Raw genomic sequence first — 18935 nt, forward strand, 5'->3', positions numbered from 1 at the left:
CTCTACTAAAAATACAAAAATTAGCTGGGCGTGGTGGCAGGCGCCCGTAATCCCAGCTACTTGGGAGGCTGAGGCAGGAGAATAGCTGGAACCTGGGAGGCGGAGGTTGCTGTGAGCCGAGATCGCGCCATTGCACTCCAGCCTGGGCGGCAGAGCGAGACTCCGTCTCGGAAAGGTTTCAAAAAAAAAGGAAAGGTTTCTCTGGGCACGGTGCAAGGCCGACAGGAGAAGGGCCCCTGTGCCTGCGCAGGGCAGACCAGTTAACACACTGCAACTGCCCAGGCAGGAAGCGAGAGGGGCCTGAACTCAAGGGTGAGCGCAGGAGGTGGAAAGTACATGCACCGGGGTGCTACTGAGCCAGCAGGATCCACGGGGCGGACTGGTGGACGCGGGCAGCCGGGTCCAGGTTGAGCATGACCCCGGGCTTTCAACTCGTGCGGGCCCGCCCCGAGCGCTCTCCGGCTTCTTCCCAGCCCTCTCCTTGCCGCCCCTCCCCGATCTTCCCACCCAACGCCTCCCTCCTTCTCCCTCCGACCGCTGCCCAGCCCAGCCCCCGTGCCTGACTGCCTGGCCCGCCCTCTTCCGCCACGCGACGCCCCTTCTGGGTCCAGGACCCGGTCTCTCCTCCCTTCCTAAGGCCCCGGCAGGGCCGCCACCCCTCGGGGGCCTGACGAGCCGGCGCGGTCCAGCCCAGGCCCGCCCTCTCAGCCCCTCAGCCTCCGGAGCAGACGCTAGCCGCAACGCTCGGCCCGGCCTCTCTTCCCTGCGTCTTTCGGGCCGGGCCCCTCTCCACCGCCTGCCGCGCCCCGACCCCCAGGGCGCCCCTCACTCACCAGGGCGCAGACCTAGGCCCAGCTCCTGCTCCCGGGTCTCCGCTCGGCGGCTCCTCCAGCCTCCGCCCGCCCCGCCTTCTTGGGACCCCGCCCCGCACAGGCCGGGCCCGGCTTCTATTGCTCCGACTCGCCGTCACGCTGAAGTCTCTTTCTTCAATTAGGTTGCTTGTCTGTCACTCAAGAAGGGGCGGGCACAGCTGCCGGTAGAGGGGAAAAACGCCGGCCGTCCCCGCCCCCCTAGTGGAGGCCTCTTAAAGAAACAGGACGCCATTCCCCTGCGGGCTACAGGGTCTGAAGGAAGGTAATTTCCCAGCTAACCCAAGAGGCAGCTTTCTTTTTCCCCCAAACTTTTTTTTCTTTTTGGTATGCAGTCCTAGAGTGAAGGAAAAGGCTTTTGCTCGCTGTGTCAAATCATAGGTTGTGAGCTCTAAGCGGGCCTCTGGTGGCACTCCGCCCTGTGCCCAGCGGGCACTTACCGCACACTCAACAGTGGGGATAGCTGTGGTTTGGGGAACTGAGTGGGAGGTGACAGTCGTGTCAGAGGCTGTGAGCAGCCGCGCTGCTCACCACCGAGTTGGAGCTAATTATACCGGCACCCAGGGCTGACCGTGGGCGCTGAGCAGAGGCAGAAGGGTACAACTCAGCTGTGCTGTTGGAAGGGATCCGTGGGAGGTGGCATTCGTCACTGCACCTGCGGATCGGAACAAGGCCGGGCACCGCGCCAAGGACTCACTCCTGCTGTCTCTCTTCATGCTCACAGCAGCCGTGTGATGGAGGGAGCACCGTGATCCCTTCGCTGCAGATGAGGAAACTGAGGCTCAGAGAGGGTCCGAGATCTTACAGCTGGTGAGGGGCAGAGCAAGATGCCAACCTATGCCTGTTGGATTCCAAAGTTTATACTTTAATCGTTTGTCTAGCAGATTCTTACAACAATCCTGGGAGGTGTGTATTCAGCTGTCCCTTTGCAGATAAAGAAACTGATACTCAGCAAAGAGACGATGTAGTGACTACCACTTGTAGGCCACTGCGCAGTCTGCAAAGCAGTTTTACATACGTTGTTTCATTTGATCCTCGAAACATCTTGGAATTAAAGATGATTTTTGTTAGTCCTATTTTACAGGTGAATAAAGTGAGGCTTGGGGAGGTTGAGGCTTAGCCATAGCTAACATTGCTAAAACTCTGGCAGGAGTTACTCTTTCTCCTTCTCACTGGCTGGACCCAGCCTTGACCTTGTGATGATGATGACGACGTGCTAGGGAACAGAGCTACAGCACAGGAGGTGCCAAATGCTACCTGCCTACTTGGGACACTCACTTCATACTCTTATGTGAAAGCGAAATGATCTTCTCCGTTCCTTTTATTATTAACTTTGATAGCAGGGAGGGCTGTTTGAGCCAACCCTGCACTCACACAACACTGAGGAAGAAAGGCTTAAATTTTGTACCCTGGGTGCCTCAGTTTGCTTCATCCTAGTCCTGGCTCTGCTTAATAACACATTTATCCAAGGAATGAATCACTCACTTGAGAGCTTTACAAGACTGTGTCATTTTTTTTTCCTGATATTGCCAGTGCAGGTTCTTTGATTGCCAGTCTTAGGAATCAATTCTGGCTAACTTTACCCAAAAAAGATTTTATTGGCAGGCTAGTGTTTAACTCACAGAGGTAACAGGAAGCTGGAGAATCAGGCTTAGAAAAGGACAGAAAGTGGAGATGCTTTGAGAGTTTAGGCAGGCAAGTGAATCAATTCCATGTTTTTCTTCCCTTTCTTGACCAGAGTTTTCTTTGATGAGTCAAAGTCCCTGGAGCAAGGGTTCGATTGGCGGAGCTCAGGTAACATGTCCACACTTTAGCTAAGGAGGGCGGGCAACTTGATGGACAGCTCCACCAAGACTGCACAGAAGTGCAGAGTTCCAGATCCCTCTTCCTCCACCTCAGCTGCTCCCAGTGGGCAACTAGGTTCAGGTGCCGTGTTTTCAGGCTGGAATCAAATAGGAGGAGTACCTGCAGCTGAATGTCATGATTACACAAATGCAATTGTGTCTGGCACGTGGGAGAGGATAGTAGAGATTCTGAGCTTTGTAACCTTGCAGACCTTTGTGCTATTTACCAGCTGTTTGTCCCTGGGTAAGTTACTAGATCTCTCTGAGCCTGTCTCCTCATGTGTACAATGGGGAGAATAACAGTACCAGCCTTAATGGATTGTTGTGAGAAATGAGATCACTGTAAATATACAACAGTTAGCAAAATGTCTGCATTTAAGTGCTCAATAAATTGTAAATTATAAAATTTTAAAATTATAGTAGGCCTTCCATAAGTACTTATTGTGTGAGTGAATTATCTACCCCTCTCAGTTCTCTAATCCATTTGACTTTTGTTTTTTGTTTTTGAGACAGAGTCTCCCTCTGTCACTCGGGCTGGAGCACAGCAGCATGATCTTGGTTCACTGCAACCTCCGCCTCCCAGTTTCAAGAGGTTCTCCTGCCTCAGCCTCCCAAGTAGCTGGGACTACAGGTGTGCACCACCACACCTGGCTAATTTTTGTATTTTTAGTAGAGACGGGGTTTCACCATGTTGGCCAGGCTGGTCTTGAACTCCTGACTTCAAGTGATCTGCCTGCCTCAGCCTCCCAAAGTGCTGGGATCACAGGTATCAGCCACCACACTGGGCAAATATGGCCCATCTTTAGAGTGGTGGGAAGCTTAGAGACAAAATCTTTACCACGGTCTACAAGACCCTAGATGATCTGGCACTTTACTTCTCAGACTTAATCTATTCCTACTCTCGCCCTAACTTACTGTTTGAGTCTTACATACTAATTTCCCATTCTGTGAACACACAGTTTCTTCTCATCTCTGTGCCTTTGCACTTGCTGTTCCCTCTCCTGGAATGCTCTTCCCCCAGCTCATCACATGGCTTCCATCTTCACTTTATTCAGGCCATGCTCTGTTATCTCCTCTTCCAAGTCTTCCCTGACAGCACTGTCTCCTATCATCCAGCCGCTCCACCCTTCTCTTCCCTTAACTTGCTCTAGTCTTCTCCCTAGCACTGCATGTCATATTACTTTGTTTTGTTTTCTGACTTCCCCATTAGTTGTAAGCTCCATGATGGCAGAGATCTTGACTGTCTTGATCATAGCTGTATCTCTGCTACCTAGAACATATCTATTATAGTACATAATATGGGGTCAATATCTTATTTTGACCATGTAAAATAATGGTTGCATCACTGAGTAAACAAAAATGACCTATGGGTAAATGGAAGGTCTCTATGAACTTGACTTATACTTAAATCTTTCTAAACAGTTACAGATTAATCATGGCCCTTCTCACATAGAATTATTGTCAAATACAATCCCTGCCACCACAACAAAAGGCTTTTTTGGTTTTTTTTTGAGATGGAGTCTTGCTCTGTTGCCTAGGCTGAAGTGCAGTGGCGTGATCTCGGCTCACCACAACTTCCACCCACTAGGTTCAAGTAATTCTCCTGCCTCAGCCTCCCAAGTAGCTGGGATTACAGGTATCTGCTGCCACACCAGGCTAATTTTTTTTTTTTTGTATTTTTATTAGAGACGGGGTTTCACCATGTTGGCCAGGCTGGTCTCGAACTCCTGACCTCAAGTGATCTGCCCACCTTGGCCTCCCAAAGTGCTGGGATTACAGGCGTAAGCCACTGTGCCCGTCCCAAAAGGATTTTTACATGGTAGCTCATAAATGTCAAAACCTTCATTTATCTGCTAAAGGAAATAGAACTAGCATTTATCATGGGTTTACTATGTGCCAAGAGTTATACCGGAGGCTGTTATACACATTACCACACTTAAAACTGTCAACTTTCTATGGCAGATTAGTGTGCCCATTTTGCAGATGAGAAAGATTGAAGATTAGAGATGTGAAAAGCTTGCTAAGGCACCTCAGCCTGGCTGGTACTCAGTCAGTCCGACTTTCTGTTTACACCACTCAGTGGAAACAGCATTCCACTGCGTATTTAATTCTTCATTTTTTTCACACTTATTAATCCTGGATATAGATGAGACTATGTATTAAGGTCTTTACATGATTTATCTCATTTGATCCTCATGTTTCTACGAAGCACATACTGCTATCACCTTTATTTTACAAACGAGGAAACTGAGGCACAGAGACTTTAGACATTTGCCCACGGTTACCTGGTTGAGTGGTGAAGCCAGTATTTAAACCCGGCTCTATTTAATTTCAAGGCCTCTGTCTTTTCTGCAATAGCGCGCTGTCTCCATTAAGACCACTCTCTGCCTCAGATAGAAAGAGAAGAAAAATGGCTAAAACAGGCGAATAAAGTATCATTAAGAAAATTCATGGTGACTTGGTTCTTGAAACGGGAAGCAAAAGGGCAGGAGGCAGACAGCCAGTCTAGCACCAGCGCTTGCAGGCTAGGGGTTCACATAACTCACAATAACTTAATTTTCGAAGATCGTTCTTCCAGGAACTGGGGGGTGAGGGACGTGGTTATGATGTATTTGTGTGAGTGGAGCCCAGGAAGGGGCCGGACTCTTGGTGAGCAGTGGCTGTCAGCCCCTGGAAGGCGTGCTCAAGCCGCCTGCGGGAGACCAGCGCCCTCTGCTGGCATCGGAAGCCACCTTCCAACATCAAGCAAGCCGGGGGGGGGGGGGGGCGTGTGTGTGTGTGTGTGTGTGTGTGTGTGTGTGTGTGTGTGTGTAATTGGGGAAGCAATGAGATTTGAAAATTTGTGTGTGTGTGTGTGGGGGGGGGCATTGGGGAAACAATGAGATTTGAAAATTTTCATTTCTTTTTTTTTGAGACAGCGTCTCACTCTGTCGCCCAGGCTGGAGTGCAGCGGCGCAGTCATGGCTCACTGTAGCCTCAACCTCCTGGGCTCAAGCGATCCTCCTGCCTCAGCCTCCCGAGTAGCTGTGACTACAGGTGCGCGCCACCATGCCCCGGTAATTTTAAAGTTTTTTGTAGAGATGGGGGCCTCACTATGTTGCCCAGGCTGGTCTCGAACTCCTGGGCTCAAGTGATCCTCCTGCCTTAGCCTCCCAAAGTTTTGGGATTACAGGCATGAGCCACTGCAGCTGGCTGAGATTTGCAAAATTTCTAATGCACACAGTAAATACAAATAATAGCTGCCACTTAGCAATATAACATTGGGGTGGGGATCAGGGGCTGTTTAAGGATTTTACATTAATTTATTTACTCCTAAGGACTTTACATACTGCATCTAACTTAACCTTTACCCTGACCCCCTGAATTAGGAATTATTGTTAGGACTTCGATTTTTCACACGAGGAAGCTGACAGAGAGATTAGGTCATTTGCTGTACCGCTATTAAGTGGCAGATCAGAGGCTTGAACAAGTGGACTCTGACCTTCCAGGTCTGTGCCCTGGAAATGACCATGTTGCCCTTCTTTGGGTCTGGAGTGCCCCCTGGCAAGTCTCCTTGTACAGAACCTCACTCAGAGCAGACACACAGCAAGGGCTCAGTGCTTCTGAAAATGGTAACCAGGCTGGGACTTGGTGGTGAGTTTGCTGCTTTTTGTATTCAAGCTCAGGGAGGCTGTAGACTCGCTGGGTGGCTGGCCTTAGAATCCCCTGCATCTGTCTGAACCAGAGACAAGCCCCCAGCCAGTGCTCAGGTTGGCCCCTGGGATCTGCTTGTCCAATAGTAACAACATTACAATAGTACAACATTTTGTTTGGCTACAACAAAGCAGACAGTCCTAATGAACAATGCAAAACATTCAGCACCCAGGGAGGCACCAGTACTGACAGATCAGAACAGACAGCACCCCCTCCCACCCCCCAGGGTCCCAGGAGACAGTCCCTCTGCCTCCCCCACAGTATATCCAAGGCTTTAACCCTTTTACTTACTGGAATGTGGGGCATTGGAGGTGGAAGATGAGGTCAGCGTTGCTGGGGAAGAGTGGTTTGAGGCAGCTACTATTTACCAATGAATATGGAAGAATTTCAATATTTTAACAGTTGGTGTGGCTATGCTGGCTGAATACTGCCATCCTTACTGTGGGTCCTGGGGTAATAGTAGGAACTAACTCATGGGTCTGGTGCAGGGGTTACACAAAGAAAAGCAAGTAAAGTTCCTGCTTCTACTTCAGAGAGGTATTCAGTCAATGAGAGTTGGTCTTAATGGCCTGAACAGATGTGTGTGTGTGTGTGTGGGGGGGGGGTTGTTGGGGTGGGGAGAATGAGCTAGTCTTGCTGACTCCCGACCCTGTCTCACCATCCATTGTGTTCATCCTCTTCAATTGTAGCTGAGTCCTGGAACCCAGAGCCTGGGGCGGGTTTGGGGGTTCCTTAACCGGTGTATGGTCACTTTGCTTCACTAGACACCTCCCTGAGTGTCTACACTCAGTTCTACAGAACTGGCTCAGTTTGTCCAGAGCAGCTGCCCATTTGTTGAAAAGTTGAGGCAGCCATGATAGAGGAAGTGAAGGCCTGGCTGTGGAGGGCTGGCTGCGGGAAGTGACCATGAGATGAGGCTCTGGTTTATCTAGGAAGACCTCTACATATGATCGTCTATCTATTCTTTCCACAAACATCTGTTGAGTGCTCTGTGTCTGCTAGCTAGTGGCTGTATGTTAGTGATCAAAACAAACATGGTCCCTGTCCTCCTGGCATTCACAGTGATACAGGGGAGACAGACAGCATATAAAGAAGCAAACAAACATATCAGTGTGACTATAAACTGTGATAAATGTAATAGGAAAATGGTTAGGCTCACCTCCCTACATTCCAACAATCAAAGCAGGAGGAGAGCGTAGTCATGGAGGTCCTCCCTGTGGAGGTGATGATTCTATTGAGACCTGGTAGATGAATAGGAGTTTTCCAGGTAAGAAGTGAAAGGTGGGGTGTTCCAGGTAGAAGGAACAGAAAAAAAAAATCATGACTTCAACTGGGTGGTTGGATTACAAAAGCAGAGAGAAGAGAAGAAGAGAAGAGAAGAGAAGAGAAGAGAAGAGAAGAGAAGAGAAGAGAAGAGAAGAGAAGGGTTAAGGAGAAGGCAGGCAGCTACTACTAAGGGCCTTGTTGGCCCTGCTGTGGAGAGGGTTAGTTTTATTCTGTGTATAATAGGAATCCATTGGAAGCTTGCAAACAGGGGAATGACAAAATCTGATTTAAGTTTTGAAAAATATCTAGTTGGTTGCTGTGACCAGATTGTGTTGAGACTAGCTTGTAGAATACGAAGATGGAAGCAAGGAGTCCGAGTGGGATGTGAATATTAAAAAGCCCCCACCCTCATAGGAAAAGACTGATTGTTCTATGGCCTTAGTAATGAGTAACCACCAGAACTGGTCTTAAGCCTAATAGGTTAATGGCAACTCATCTCACTGAATCTGCATCTGAAACCAACCAATCAGTGATAGTCTGTGCTTTGAGAATCAGCCAAGCTGCCCCAGATTCACTGCAGTGAGTATGTTTCTCAGGCTGGTGTCACCCCTCTCTCTGCTTGGAAACCAAACTCATCCCCAAACAAATTATTCCCCAAACCTATATAAGATTAACAGTTTGTTTTGCTCATCCAGACTATACCTGACCATTGAAGGGCTCCTGTGCTTAAAGAAGCAAGAAATGCAGCTGGTTGCAGACACTAAGGGGTGGTTTTATCCTCCAGTAGAGGTTGCCTTAGGCTGATCAGGCTGCTACAACAAAATACCGCAGGCTGGGTGGCTTATAAACAACAAATATTTATTTCTTACAGTTCTAGGGGCTGGGAAGTCCAAGATCAAAGTGTCATCAGATTTGATGTCTAATGAGGGCTGCCTTATTAGTTCACAGATGGCCATCTTCTCACTGTGTCTTCACGTGGCAGAAGGGGAAAGGAGCTCTCTGAAGTCTCTTTTTTTAAGGGCACCAATCCCATTCATGAAGGTTCCACACTCATGACCTAATCACATCCTAAAAGCCCCACTCTAAATACAATCACATTGGGGATTAGTTTTCAACATATGAATGGGCAGTGGGGTGGAGGGTAGGGGGCACATGAAGCAGTTATCCAGTCTATAGCAGGAGTCTTTACAGTCATCCAGGCTATGGATGGTGGTGGTCTGTTCTCTTGTCACTGCTGAGGATGTCATCCTGGGGTTTATTCTCTGACCCTCCCTGGGCCAGGCGCCTATGGCTGACAAACCCTTTTCTGAAGGACATTATCTTTCTTTGAAGATTTTATGTCTTTATTTAGGTGTACCGTTGCATCTTGTCTCGGGATGTTCTGCCCCTTCAAGGGAATGTGTCATTCGGGGTTGAGTCAGGAGAGAGAAACCACACCAGTTATTTGAACAGACATAAGTCAATATAAAGAATTGTTAACCAGGTATAAAGTTGTTAAGTAGGTCTCTGGAAAGGATCAAAAGAACTCTAAGGTCTCATGGGGGTAGCGACTGCAGAAAGCATCTACCACCTCTAGGGCTGAAAGAAACAAAGAAAAGACATTGAAATTATTAAGACTTAGAATCTGGTCTGCAAGTTTTGAAGAAACTTGCAAACTGGACTCAGCTGGTGTTATAAGAAGACACTGCACCGCTGTTGCCAAGGTGAATAAGTGATGCTCAAAACAATTCCACAAAAAGCAAACAGGAAAGAGCAAAGCCTTTTCCTCTTCTAGACTTGTAGCTCCCTTGAGCACTCCCATTAGCAGAGACTAAGAGAGCTGCTGGTGAAGCAGAAGTGCAGTTTTTCAGAATTCCAGCTCCAGCACCACAGACCAGGGTATGGAAAGGTAGGTTTGGAGCTGAGAGCCAGCAGCTTAATAACGGGAACAGGGGACATTATATTTCTCTGTTTCTATCCCGTTTTTACAAAGTGTTTAATTATCAGACGTCAGCCTCATTTCTAAAATTTGGGGGACTCATCTCATTGTCACCTCAAGTGCTTCTCTTAAGTTGCTTTCCGTTTGGTTGTGGGAGCAGACGCATGTACAATCAGCTGATTCTTAGCAACATGTGATGCTTTTGGTGAATGAAGGGCCGGAGGAAGTGGCGGAATGTGGGGACATGTGGGGACAGTTCAGCCTGAATGGTTCTAATCCTTAGAAGTGGCACAAGGCATTTGTACTAGGCATTGAAGCATGAGTGATGAGTAGAATTCCAACTGAGTTGACAAAAGAGTCACTGTAAGGTCCATTTTACAGAAGAAGAAACTGAGGCCCAGAGAGTTCGTTTCTGGAGTCACAAAGAACCACGTCCGTCCATCCAACTGCTTAGCCTGGAGTCCTAAACCATTGCCCTGTGACCATAGCTTGCAATTTCTTCAGGTTTATCATCCTATAAAACTGGAATAATGATATTTGCCTTTTGGGGTAGTGGTGAGGGTTAACTGGTGTCATATATTAAAAACATAAACCCATTTTGGAAGACAGATGCTGGGCACATTTCCACGCCCACTCACCAGCCTTGCTACTTGTAGTTCAAATTCGTGCCTCAGCAAAGTTATAAATCAGTCCATGTCATAGATCTGAAGGTGGGAGGGGTGGTGGCGTTCTTACATAGTTGAAACCAAGAACATAAAATCCTTGAATGTCATTATCTCAGTGAATGCTAATAATAAGGATAATGATAATAATGGTAATATGCTTCCACTTAATGAATACCTACTATGTATGTGCCAGGTATTTTACATATATTATATCACTTTTGTCTATTCGGCAAATAGGTATTTAGTGTGCAACACATGCCTGGCATTATGTTAACGCTAACTGCCATAATGAAACTGAGTGTAGGTCTTATCATTCCTGTTTAACAGATGATGAGGTTGAGACTCACCCCTCTGGCCTCTTTTCTCACTTGTACAACAGGGACAATAATAATCCTACCTGCAGGATGCATCAGGGAATACAGTTCATATAGCATATTGCCTGGGACATAGCAGATACTCAATGTATGCTTGTTACTTAATAGATTAGCACTACTATTTCTGCTAGTGCAACCACTGCTCAGGGTCACAGAGCTAGCAAATGGCCTATCTGACTCCACAGCCTCTGCTCTGTCCCCTCTGTCATGCTCTTTATGCTACGTCAGTCTTTCTACTATGGCTGCCTTCCCACAAAGGCAGGCCTGGCTTTACTGTAAATTCTGTTGGAAGAAAAGGAGGAGCAGCCAGAGGGCACCAAGTCACAGCAGAAACAGCTGTTTTGAAACAGAGGCAGGTCCCAGGAGTAGCTATTATCATTTTTTTCTCATAAAAGTGATCTACGGATGATTGGGTCAAGATGGCAGATGGGACACTTAATGGCAGCCTCGCCCCACCCCTAAATATCTAGAAATAACAGAAATGTGTGTGTGTGTGTGTGTGTGTGTGTGTATGTGTGTTCCAAAACCATATGGAAAATCAGGAAGGCATATGTCTCCAGTGGTTTAGAAACTACAAAAGATGAGATTAAAGAGAAGTGAAAAAAGCCTCAAACACACCAAGGCAGTAACTAATGGGTGTCATTTCAAGGGTGGTACATACCTAGAGCAAAGAGGTTGGGGACATAGGGGATTGATTTGGAGCAGTGCAATAGAAGCCGTCAGGCATGGTGACCAGCTCCCTCCCATCCACCCTGCTTTGGCTAAATAGTAAGTTACATAAGTGTCTCCCCGCAGATGGCAGCAGTAAGTCTGAATGCAAAACTGTGTCCTGGGTGAGCAGGTTGAGAAACAGAGGTCTCCAAGTCCAGAAAACAAATTTATATTCTATCCCTGGAGTTAGACTGTGGTGAACAGATAAAGCACTTTCAGATAGGCTGACAAGAAATTTTAAACTTCAAAATAAAAACATAGCCAAGAGTCACCAGATATTTGGAAAACCCAACACATGAAACAGTAACATCAAAAACAACAAACCAAAGAACTTACACCTGAGGAAACAGAGAGCAAATAGAACCAGACTATGGAATAAGTATCATTATATACCTTGGACAAATGGCAGAGCCTACTGTATTCATATTTTAAAAAAATAAAAAATGCATCGAGGTTTTAGAAATTAAAAAAATTATTCTTGAAATAAAAATCTCAATAGATGGGTTGAATAGCAAAATGGATTGAAGAGTATATCAGTGAATCAGAATATCATGCTAAGTAATTCTCCCGGAATGCAGTGCAAAACAATAAATAGATGGGTAGAATGAACAAAATGTTATGAGACATGAATGACAGATGTAAAAGTTCCACTATCTGCTTAATGTGAATTAGAGGAGAGAAGAAAATTAAGGAAGGAGAGTGCCTAAAACAAGGCAAAAATTTAAGACAATTTCTTAGAAATTGGAAATACTCACATTGAGAGGAACCAGTGAATATTTACAGGAAGAATGTAAAAACACTGAAATGTAAGTAAATCATGATGAAATTTCAGGACATTAAGGATAAGGAGGAAACTCTGAATGTTTTCAGAGTGAAAAAAAATTAGGCAGGATGGAATAAGAAGATTGATACCAGACTTTACATTTGCAACATAGTAAGTGAGAAAACAGAATAACATGTTTAAAGTTTTCTGGTGAAAATACTTGTGAACTTATGATTCTTGTTAAAGTGAACTAAATATGGCCTGAGAAGGACTCCATACTTGTGGACTAACCATAACCTAACTTAATAGACAAGATTGAAAACCTAGCTTAGGAGTATGCATCTGTAACAGTAGCTGAGTCGTGGCCAATCCCAGCAGCCATACTCCAATCACTCATACGCTGCTCCGTGTTCCAACTGTGTTCAGATAAGTCAAAGCCAACCTGTAACCAATCTAGCTGTTTCTTTTTCTTTCTTTTTTTTTGAGACGGAGTCTCGCTCTGTCCCCCAGGCTGGAGTGCCACGGCGCGATCTCGGCTTACTGCAAGCTCCGCCTCCCGGGTTCACGCCATTCTCCTGCCTCAGGCTCCCAGGTAGCTGGGACTACAGGCGCCCACCACCACGCCCAGCTAATTTTTTCTATTTTTTAGTAGAGACGGGGTTTCACCGTGTTAGCCAGGATGGTCTCGATCTCCTGACCTCGTGATCCGCCCGCCTCGGCCTCCCAAAGTGCTGGGATTACAGGCGTGAGCCACCGCGCCCGGCCTGTTTCTTTACTTCACTTCCAATTTCTGTGTGTCACTTTCCTTTTTTTGTCTATAAATTTGTTCTGATCATGAGGCATCCCTGAAGTCTCTCTGAATCTACTGCAGTTCTGGAGGCTCCCCGACTTGTGAATTGTTTTTTCTTCTTGCTCAATTAAACTCCATTAAGTTTAATTTGAAGTGTTCTTTTAACATTCTTTAACCAGCCAAACTGCAAGTGAATGTGAGGACATCATAAAGACATTTTAAGACACACAAACAGATTCAAAAAGTTTATAATTCACTGTCCACATAGAGTAACCTTTCTCAACAGGGTACCACTGGCATTTGGGGTGGAACAATTCTTTATTGTGTAAGACTGATCCACACATTGCAGGTTACTTAGTGTCCTTGACCATCATCCATTAAATGCCAGTAGCATTTCTCCTCCCCGTGACAATACACAGCAGCCCCACATTTGGAGGGGGTGCTGTATCACCTCTGGTTGAGAAACCATGGTGTAGAAAATATATTCAAAGAGAAAATAAATCTAGGAAAAAAAAAGGGATATAAGAAGCACAGGTGAGCAAGAAAATCAGTAAAGTTTACTTTTAAGTCTAAATAAATTATAACAATAAACCTATAATAATAAACTAAAATCTGAGATAACTCAGGATGGAGAGTTATGAAGTCTGGAAAGGAGGTAAGAGAGAGAAGTAAAAGCATGCTAGGAGCTTCATTTTATTTATACAATTAGCTCTGGATGTCAATTAATAATATGTGCAACTATGTATACAAAAATACAAAGATACAGAAACTAAACATATACTTTTCAAGTCATTAGAAGAAAAGTTAGTTGGGAACAAGTAAAATGCTAGCAGCTAACCAAAGATCAGGGATGAAAAAGAAACACAAAAACAGCATATAAAATAGAAAGCACAAGGTAAATTGGTAGAAAATGTGCAAATATATCAGTAACCATAAGAAATATGACTATATCAAATTCGCTGCTAAAAGACAGTGACTTTCGAATTGGGTTTAAAAAGAGTCAAACCGTGTGTTTTTGTATAAGAGACAGTAAAACACAGTAATATAGAAAGGTTGAAAATAAAGAGTTGGAAAAGGTAACTGGGAAAATGCCAGGAAAAGGAAAGCAAGTGGTACAAGCAATCTTATCATTTGACAGAACGGATTTTAAGAAAAAATAATCATTGTTACTCAAAAAGACAAAAAATAATATTTCATAGTGATAAAATACTCAATCTACTAATCAGTTTAGCCTTATGCTTGTGTGTGCCTAGTAACATAGGATTGAAATTTGTAATACAAAAACAGAATTATAAGGAGAAAACAAATCCATGACTTCGTGGGAAACATTACCTTTAGAAATCTATAGAACAAGTAGTCAAAAATCAAGTAAGAAACAAAGATCTAGTACCATGATCCACAAGGTTTTATTATTAATATTATTACTATTTATTTATTTATTACTATTTTATTTACTATTTTATTTATTTACTATTTATTTTATTTATTTATTTATTATTTATTTTATTTATTTATTTACTATTTATTTATTACTATTGTTCTATCACCCAAGCTGGAGTGCAGTGGTGCCATCTCAGCTCACTGCAGCCTCAACTTCCCAGGCTCCAGCAGTCCTCTCATCTCAGCCTCCCAAGTAGCTGGGACCACAAGTGCACACCACCATGCCTGGCTAATTTTTGTATTTTTGGTAGAAATGGGGTTTCACCATGTTGCCTAGGCTGGTCTCAAACTCCTGAACTCAAGCGATTTACCCACCTCGGCCTCCCAAAGAGCTGAAATCACAGACATGAGCCACTGCACCCAGCCCACCAAGTTTAATCAAATAAATTTATATAGAGATAAATGTTTGCCTTTTTCAAACACACATGATAACTTTATAAAAATCGTCCTGACTTGAAATAATAGCTTTTTTTCCTTTTAACCTTTTATTTCTTCTTTTCTGTCCAATGATGCTGCCTGCTTCTCCTCTTCCCAGGTAACATTGCTAGCAGAGTGACTGTATCCATCTATATCTTTCTTCATGCTCATAAAATCATATCTAAATATATACATATATATGTAGATTTCTCTTCCTATAGCTTACAAAAATAGAACCACAGTTTATAAATTTCTCTGCATCTTTCAGAAATGGAAGATGGAAGTGCTCTCCAGTCAGTAGACAGAGGTTTCAGTTATTCTTGTTAAATGGCTGCATTATGTCATGATATAAATGTACTGCAATTTACTCAATAATTCTACTGTCTATGGGCATTCACATTGTTTTCAGGTTTTTTCCTCCCATTGCAATCATGATCACTGTTGATGTGAACATCCATAGACACATATATTCTGGTGTTTTTATTTCTATGGGAAGAATTCCCATGCGTGGGATTGCCGGGTGAAAGAATGTGTGGAGTTGTTTTCTTTTGATATACGTTGCCAGATTGCTCTCCAACAAGGTCACAGCTGCTGGCGATGTGGTGAAGAGTGTCCCTTTCCAGCCTGTAGTAGGTGTTATCATGTTCCCAATTTGCTAGTCTGATGTGAGTAAAGTGATAACTCATTGTTGTGTAATTTACATTTCCTTAACTCTTAGGGAGACCGAACATCTTTTTACATTTATTCAACATTTGGACTTGTTCTTCTGGGAATTGTCTAGGATAGCTTTTGATCATTTTTATGCTGATACCATTTTTATTCTGATACGCACATAGGTATTAACCCTTTATCTGCCATCTGATTTGCAAATAAATGGAAAGATCTCATCAAGTACTAGGTTGATGTAATGTCACATGTTTTCTTCTAAAATGGTTTCAGTTTTTTAGATTTAAGTCTTTAATTCATCTGGAGCTCATTTCTGTCTAAATGACATAAAATAAAGTCCCAATTTTATTTCTTTTGTCTCTGCAATGTCCAATACAGTAGCCATAGCCACTTGCGGCTATTGAGCACTTGAAATATTACTCTTCAGAACTGGAATGGGCTGTAAGTCTAAAATATACACTGATTTCCAAGACTCAGTATGGAAAACAAAGACTGTAAAATGTCTAATTTATAACTTTTATATTGATCATATGTTGAAATGTGAATGTTTTGGATGCATTAGAATAAATAAAATATTTATGTAAATTAACTGTATATTTCTTTTTACTTCTTAATGTGGCTACTAGAAAAATTTTAGGCCAGGCATGGTGCCTCACGCCTGTAATCTCAGCACTTTGGGAGGCTGAGGTGGGAGGATTGCTTGAGCCCAGGAGTTTGAGACAAGCCTGGACAACACAGTGAGATCCAATCTTTAAAAAATTTTTTAAAAAAATTAACCAGGCATGGCGATATATGCCAGTGGTCCCACCTACATGGGAGGCTGAGGCAGGAAGATCGCTTGATGCTGGGAGGTTGAGGCTGCAGTGAGCCATGTTAGAGACACAGCACTCTAGCTTGGGTGACAGAACAAGACCCTGTCTCAAAAAAAAAAAAAGACATTTTAATTACATGCGTAGCTTACATTATATTTCTATTGGACAGCTCTATTTCAGATGATCAGTTGCGCCAGAGCTATTTCTTAAACATTTTTGCTCTCTTTCACTTATCTTTTATCTGCCTCATGAGGGGTATATCTATTTTATGTCTCATAGTAGACATCTGTCTTATTCATCACTTGCCATCATCTTTGAATAGCCCTTTTCTGTTGGGAGAAATTCACAATCATGAGTTTCACCTCTCCAGGGTAGGAGTTAGACCTCAAATTCCCAATCTCTCTCACAGTTAAGATATGCATATTTGACGTTTGTAGAATGAATTGGAAGTCAGTTACATGAGGGATCAAATTCTGCATGGAGTTTTTATTTCCATAGGCGCAGGTGGCACATGCAACCAGCTTTGATGGTGGCGGTTCCAGAAGAGGTTGCGAGGTCAAGGCCCTGCCTTTGGTGGGTGGTGACAGCAGTGGCAGTTTCTTTATCAGGCCAGCACTGGGTATACTTTGGGCATTGCTTAACCTTGAATCTGACTTTTCAGCCCTCCCGATAATACTGTGAGCTACTTGGCCAGGCATGATGGCTCACTCCTATAATCCCAGCATTTTGGGAGGCTGAGGTGGGCGGATCACTTGAGGTCAGGAGTTTGAGACCAGCCTGACCAACATGGTGAAGCCCACAAAAATTGGTCAGGCGTGGTGATGTGTGCCTGTAGTCCCAGCTACTCGGGTGGCTGAAGCAGGAGAATCGCTTGAACCTGGGAGGCAGAGGCTTGCAGTGAGCTGAAATCACGCCACTCTCCTCCAACCCGGGCAATAGAGTGATACTCCTTCTCAAAAAAAAAAAAAATACTATGAGCTACTCAATATCTTTTTAATAAATTTGCTTTCTGCTTAATCATCCAAATCAGCTTCTGTTGCTTGCAATATAGAATCCTGACTGATATACTGGGATTTTTTTTCCTTAAAGACATAGATTTTGGATTTATTTTTTCCTGGTATTTCCCCTTACTATTTCTAAAATATTATCTTCCATCTTAATGAGTTTCCCCTTCCCCCAGCTAATTTTCTTGTCCTTTTTCTATTTCTCAAGAATATTGTTTTAGCCTGGATTCTCTAGAAAACAGAACCTTTGGCAAGTTTGTATGCCAACACCTCACTGGGGAGTGCAACCTCAGAGAAACCAGATTGAGGGAAAAATGAGGCAAGAAGGAGAAGTGCAAAGATAAGAGGCATTACTGAGAGGACCCGAGTTTTGTAATTAATGAAGCTAACTGCTTGGACTCACAGTACATCTTCAGATCTTCAGAGAAGTTGTATGAACTACCCTGTCTTGGAACATCCTCAGGAGGAGAAAGTGAGTAGAATTTAACCACGGCTCCTTCCTGTCTCTTGTCTCATCCCCTGTGGCTCAAAGTCTCCCCCACAGGGCATTAACCCTCCAGCACATTCAGGCTGTATTACCTGGTCTCTCCAGACAGCAGCCGGGGAAGCCAGAGCCTTCCAGACCAATCTAGCTAGTGCAGGTAGTAGCTTGTCTCTCCTTTTCTGACAGTGCCACTGTGGGGATTCTCCATCTATAGTGTAGTCAATGGCAGAGGCATGGACCTCGTTCCATGACCAGGGACTAGCTTGCTGTCCCCTGTAGCTCTCTTCTATCTAGGATTGAAGGCAAGGGGTTTAGGCCTGAGGTTGGTGAGTATAGGGCTTAGGGAGAAGATATCACAGAGAGATCTACGGCAGTGCATACCAAGTCTGGTACATTCCACTTTGCACCATTCAGACCTACTTTCACCCTCTTATAATATCTGGAGCACATATAAGAACGATGCCTTCATTTCGTCTCCTAGGGGAGAGATGCAAGTCAGTCCTCCAAGGTGGTGACTTGTTGCAGCTTCTGGCAATTTTAGAGGGTTGGCAAACCAAGTACAGTTTTTGCTGCTGTAACCTGTTCCAGGATAGTAATTCCAATTCATTGTCTTCCTCCTCTGCTACCTATTCTGGATTTCCCTCCCTCTTGGCTATTATGCAACTGAAATGGGTTGCTTCCTGGTGGAGTGACTCAGACCTTCCTCCTCAAGGGATCTGAGGGATCTGAGCCCTTGCTCTTGTCTAACTGTAGTTGCTGCAAGGAATTTAGGACTGTCCTTTGCATGGAAGTCCTAAGAGATGCCCAGGGATTCCCTGGATTCTCATTGTGTAGCAGTTACCCCAGCTCCTCATGTTACAGGGTGGATTATCTCAGCAGGTAAAACCATTCTTTCTTTATCTGCTAGTCAACTGGCATGAATGACCAAAATGGCCCCAAATGGCCAGCTGGTTTGAGAGGCTAATCTTACTTCCAGTCCTTTGCTCCTGGGGATATCACACTGTATATTGGCCATTAATTCAGTGTATGTACCATATTCTGGAGGAAAGCACCTCATCCCCAAAAGGTGTCGTCTCCAAGCTGGTACCTTAACTAAACCTTGGAGAGGCCATTTCTGTCAGTCTGATTGCTTTTGGGTGATGATGTATAGCCTTGCTACTTAAAGTTTGTGTGTGTGTGTGTGTGTGTGTGCGTGTGTGTGTAGGGGACCAGTAGCAGC

At 44.4% G+C, this 18935-nt stretch overlaps 1 protein-coding gene and 1 long non-coding RNA gene across 6 annotated transcripts in view, besides 8 other annotated features; one reads left to right on the forward strand and one right to left on the reverse strand.

Annotated features, from left to right (window-relative positions):
- ELMO2 (engulfment and cell motility 2) overlaps positions 1 to 901 on the reverse strand; it is a 40566-nt gene extending 39665 nt beyond the window's left edge. For all 5 annotated transcript variants that reach the window (NM_182764.3, XM_006723854.4, XM_005260496.4 and 2 more), the window contains exon 1: positions 834 to 901. The gene's annotated coding sequence lies outside the window, so the exon portion shown is untranslated. The remainder of the gene's footprint in view (positions 1 to 833) is intronic.
- Positions 82 to 711: an enhancer, noted in NCBI's record as "H3K27ac-H3K4me1 hESC enhancer chr20:45034435-45035064 (GRCh37/hg19 assembly coordinates)". NCBI's record gives its function as "activates a minimal SCP1, AML or CMV promoter by ChIP-STARR-seq in naive H9 embryonic stem cells {active_cell/tissue: H9 hESC(naive)}" and the evidence as "EXISTENCE:reporter gene assay evidence [ECO:0000049][PMID:30033119]".
- Positions 82 to 1341: a biological region, named in NCBI's record as "H3K27ac-H3K4me1 hESC enhancers GRCh37_chr20:45034435-45035064 and GRCh37_chr20:45035065-45035694".
- Positions 339 to 928: a silencer, noted in NCBI's record as "silent region_12975". NCBI's record gives its function as "represses an Ori minimal core promoter by ATAC-STARR-seq in GM12878 lymphoblastoid cells {active_cell/tissue: GM12878}" and the evidence as "EXISTENCE:reporter gene assay evidence [ECO:0000049][PMID:35858748]".
- Positions 618 to 1092: a silencer, noted in NCBI's record as "fragment chr20:45034971-45035445 (GRCh37/hg19 assembly coordinates)". NCBI's record gives its function as "represses an EF-1alpha promoter that drives an FKBP-Casp9 reporter gene in an ReSE screen in K562 erythroleukemia cells {active_cell/tissue: K562}" and the evidence as "EXISTENCE:reporter gene assay evidence [ECO:0000049][PMID:32094911]".
- Positions 712 to 1341: an enhancer, noted in NCBI's record as "H3K27ac-H3K4me1 hESC enhancer chr20:45035065-45035694 (GRCh37/hg19 assembly coordinates)". NCBI's record gives its function as "activates a minimal SCP1, AML or CMV promoter by ChIP-STARR-seq in naive H9 embryonic stem cells {active_cell/tissue: H9 hESC(naive)}" and the evidence as "EXISTENCE:reporter gene assay evidence [ECO:0000049][PMID:30033119]".
- LOC105372633 (uncharacterized) overlaps positions 1065 to 18935 on the forward strand; it is a 38193-nt gene continuing 20322 nt past the window's right edge. Inside the window, exons 1-2 of the long non-coding RNA NR_146919.1 lie at positions 1065 to 1134; positions 17441 to 17704. This is a non-coding gene — a long non-coding RNA (uncharacterized LOC105372633). The remainder of the gene's footprint in view (positions 1135 to 17440; positions 17705 to 18935) is intronic.
- Positions 1099 to 1158: an enhancer, noted in NCBI's record as "active region_17972". NCBI's record gives its function as "activates an Ori minimal core promoter by ATAC-STARR-seq in GM12878 lymphoblastoid cells {active_cell/tissue: GM12878}" and the evidence as "EXISTENCE:reporter gene assay evidence [ECO:0000049][PMID:35858748]".
- Positions 1609 to 1768: an enhancer, noted in NCBI's record as "active region_17973". NCBI's record gives its function as "activates an Ori minimal core promoter by ATAC-STARR-seq in GM12878 lymphoblastoid cells {active_cell/tissue: GM12878}" and the evidence as "EXISTENCE:reporter gene assay evidence [ECO:0000049][PMID:35858748]".
- Positions 18328 to 18887: an enhancer, noted in NCBI's record as "NANOG hESC enhancer chr20:45052681-45053240 (GRCh37/hg19 assembly coordinates)". NCBI's record gives its function as "activates a minimal SCP1, AML or CMV promoter by ChIP-STARR-seq in naive H9 embryonic stem cells {active_cell/tissue: H9 hESC(naive)}" and the evidence as "EXISTENCE:reporter gene assay evidence [ECO:0000049][PMID:30033119]".

This window comes from Homo sapiens, chromosome 20, assembly GCF_000001405.40.
Source record: "Homo sapiens chromosome 20, GRCh38.p14 Primary Assembly".
NCBI classification, from domain to species: domain Eukaryota; kingdom Metazoa; phylum Chordata; class Mammalia; order Primates; family Hominidae; genus Homo; species Homo sapiens.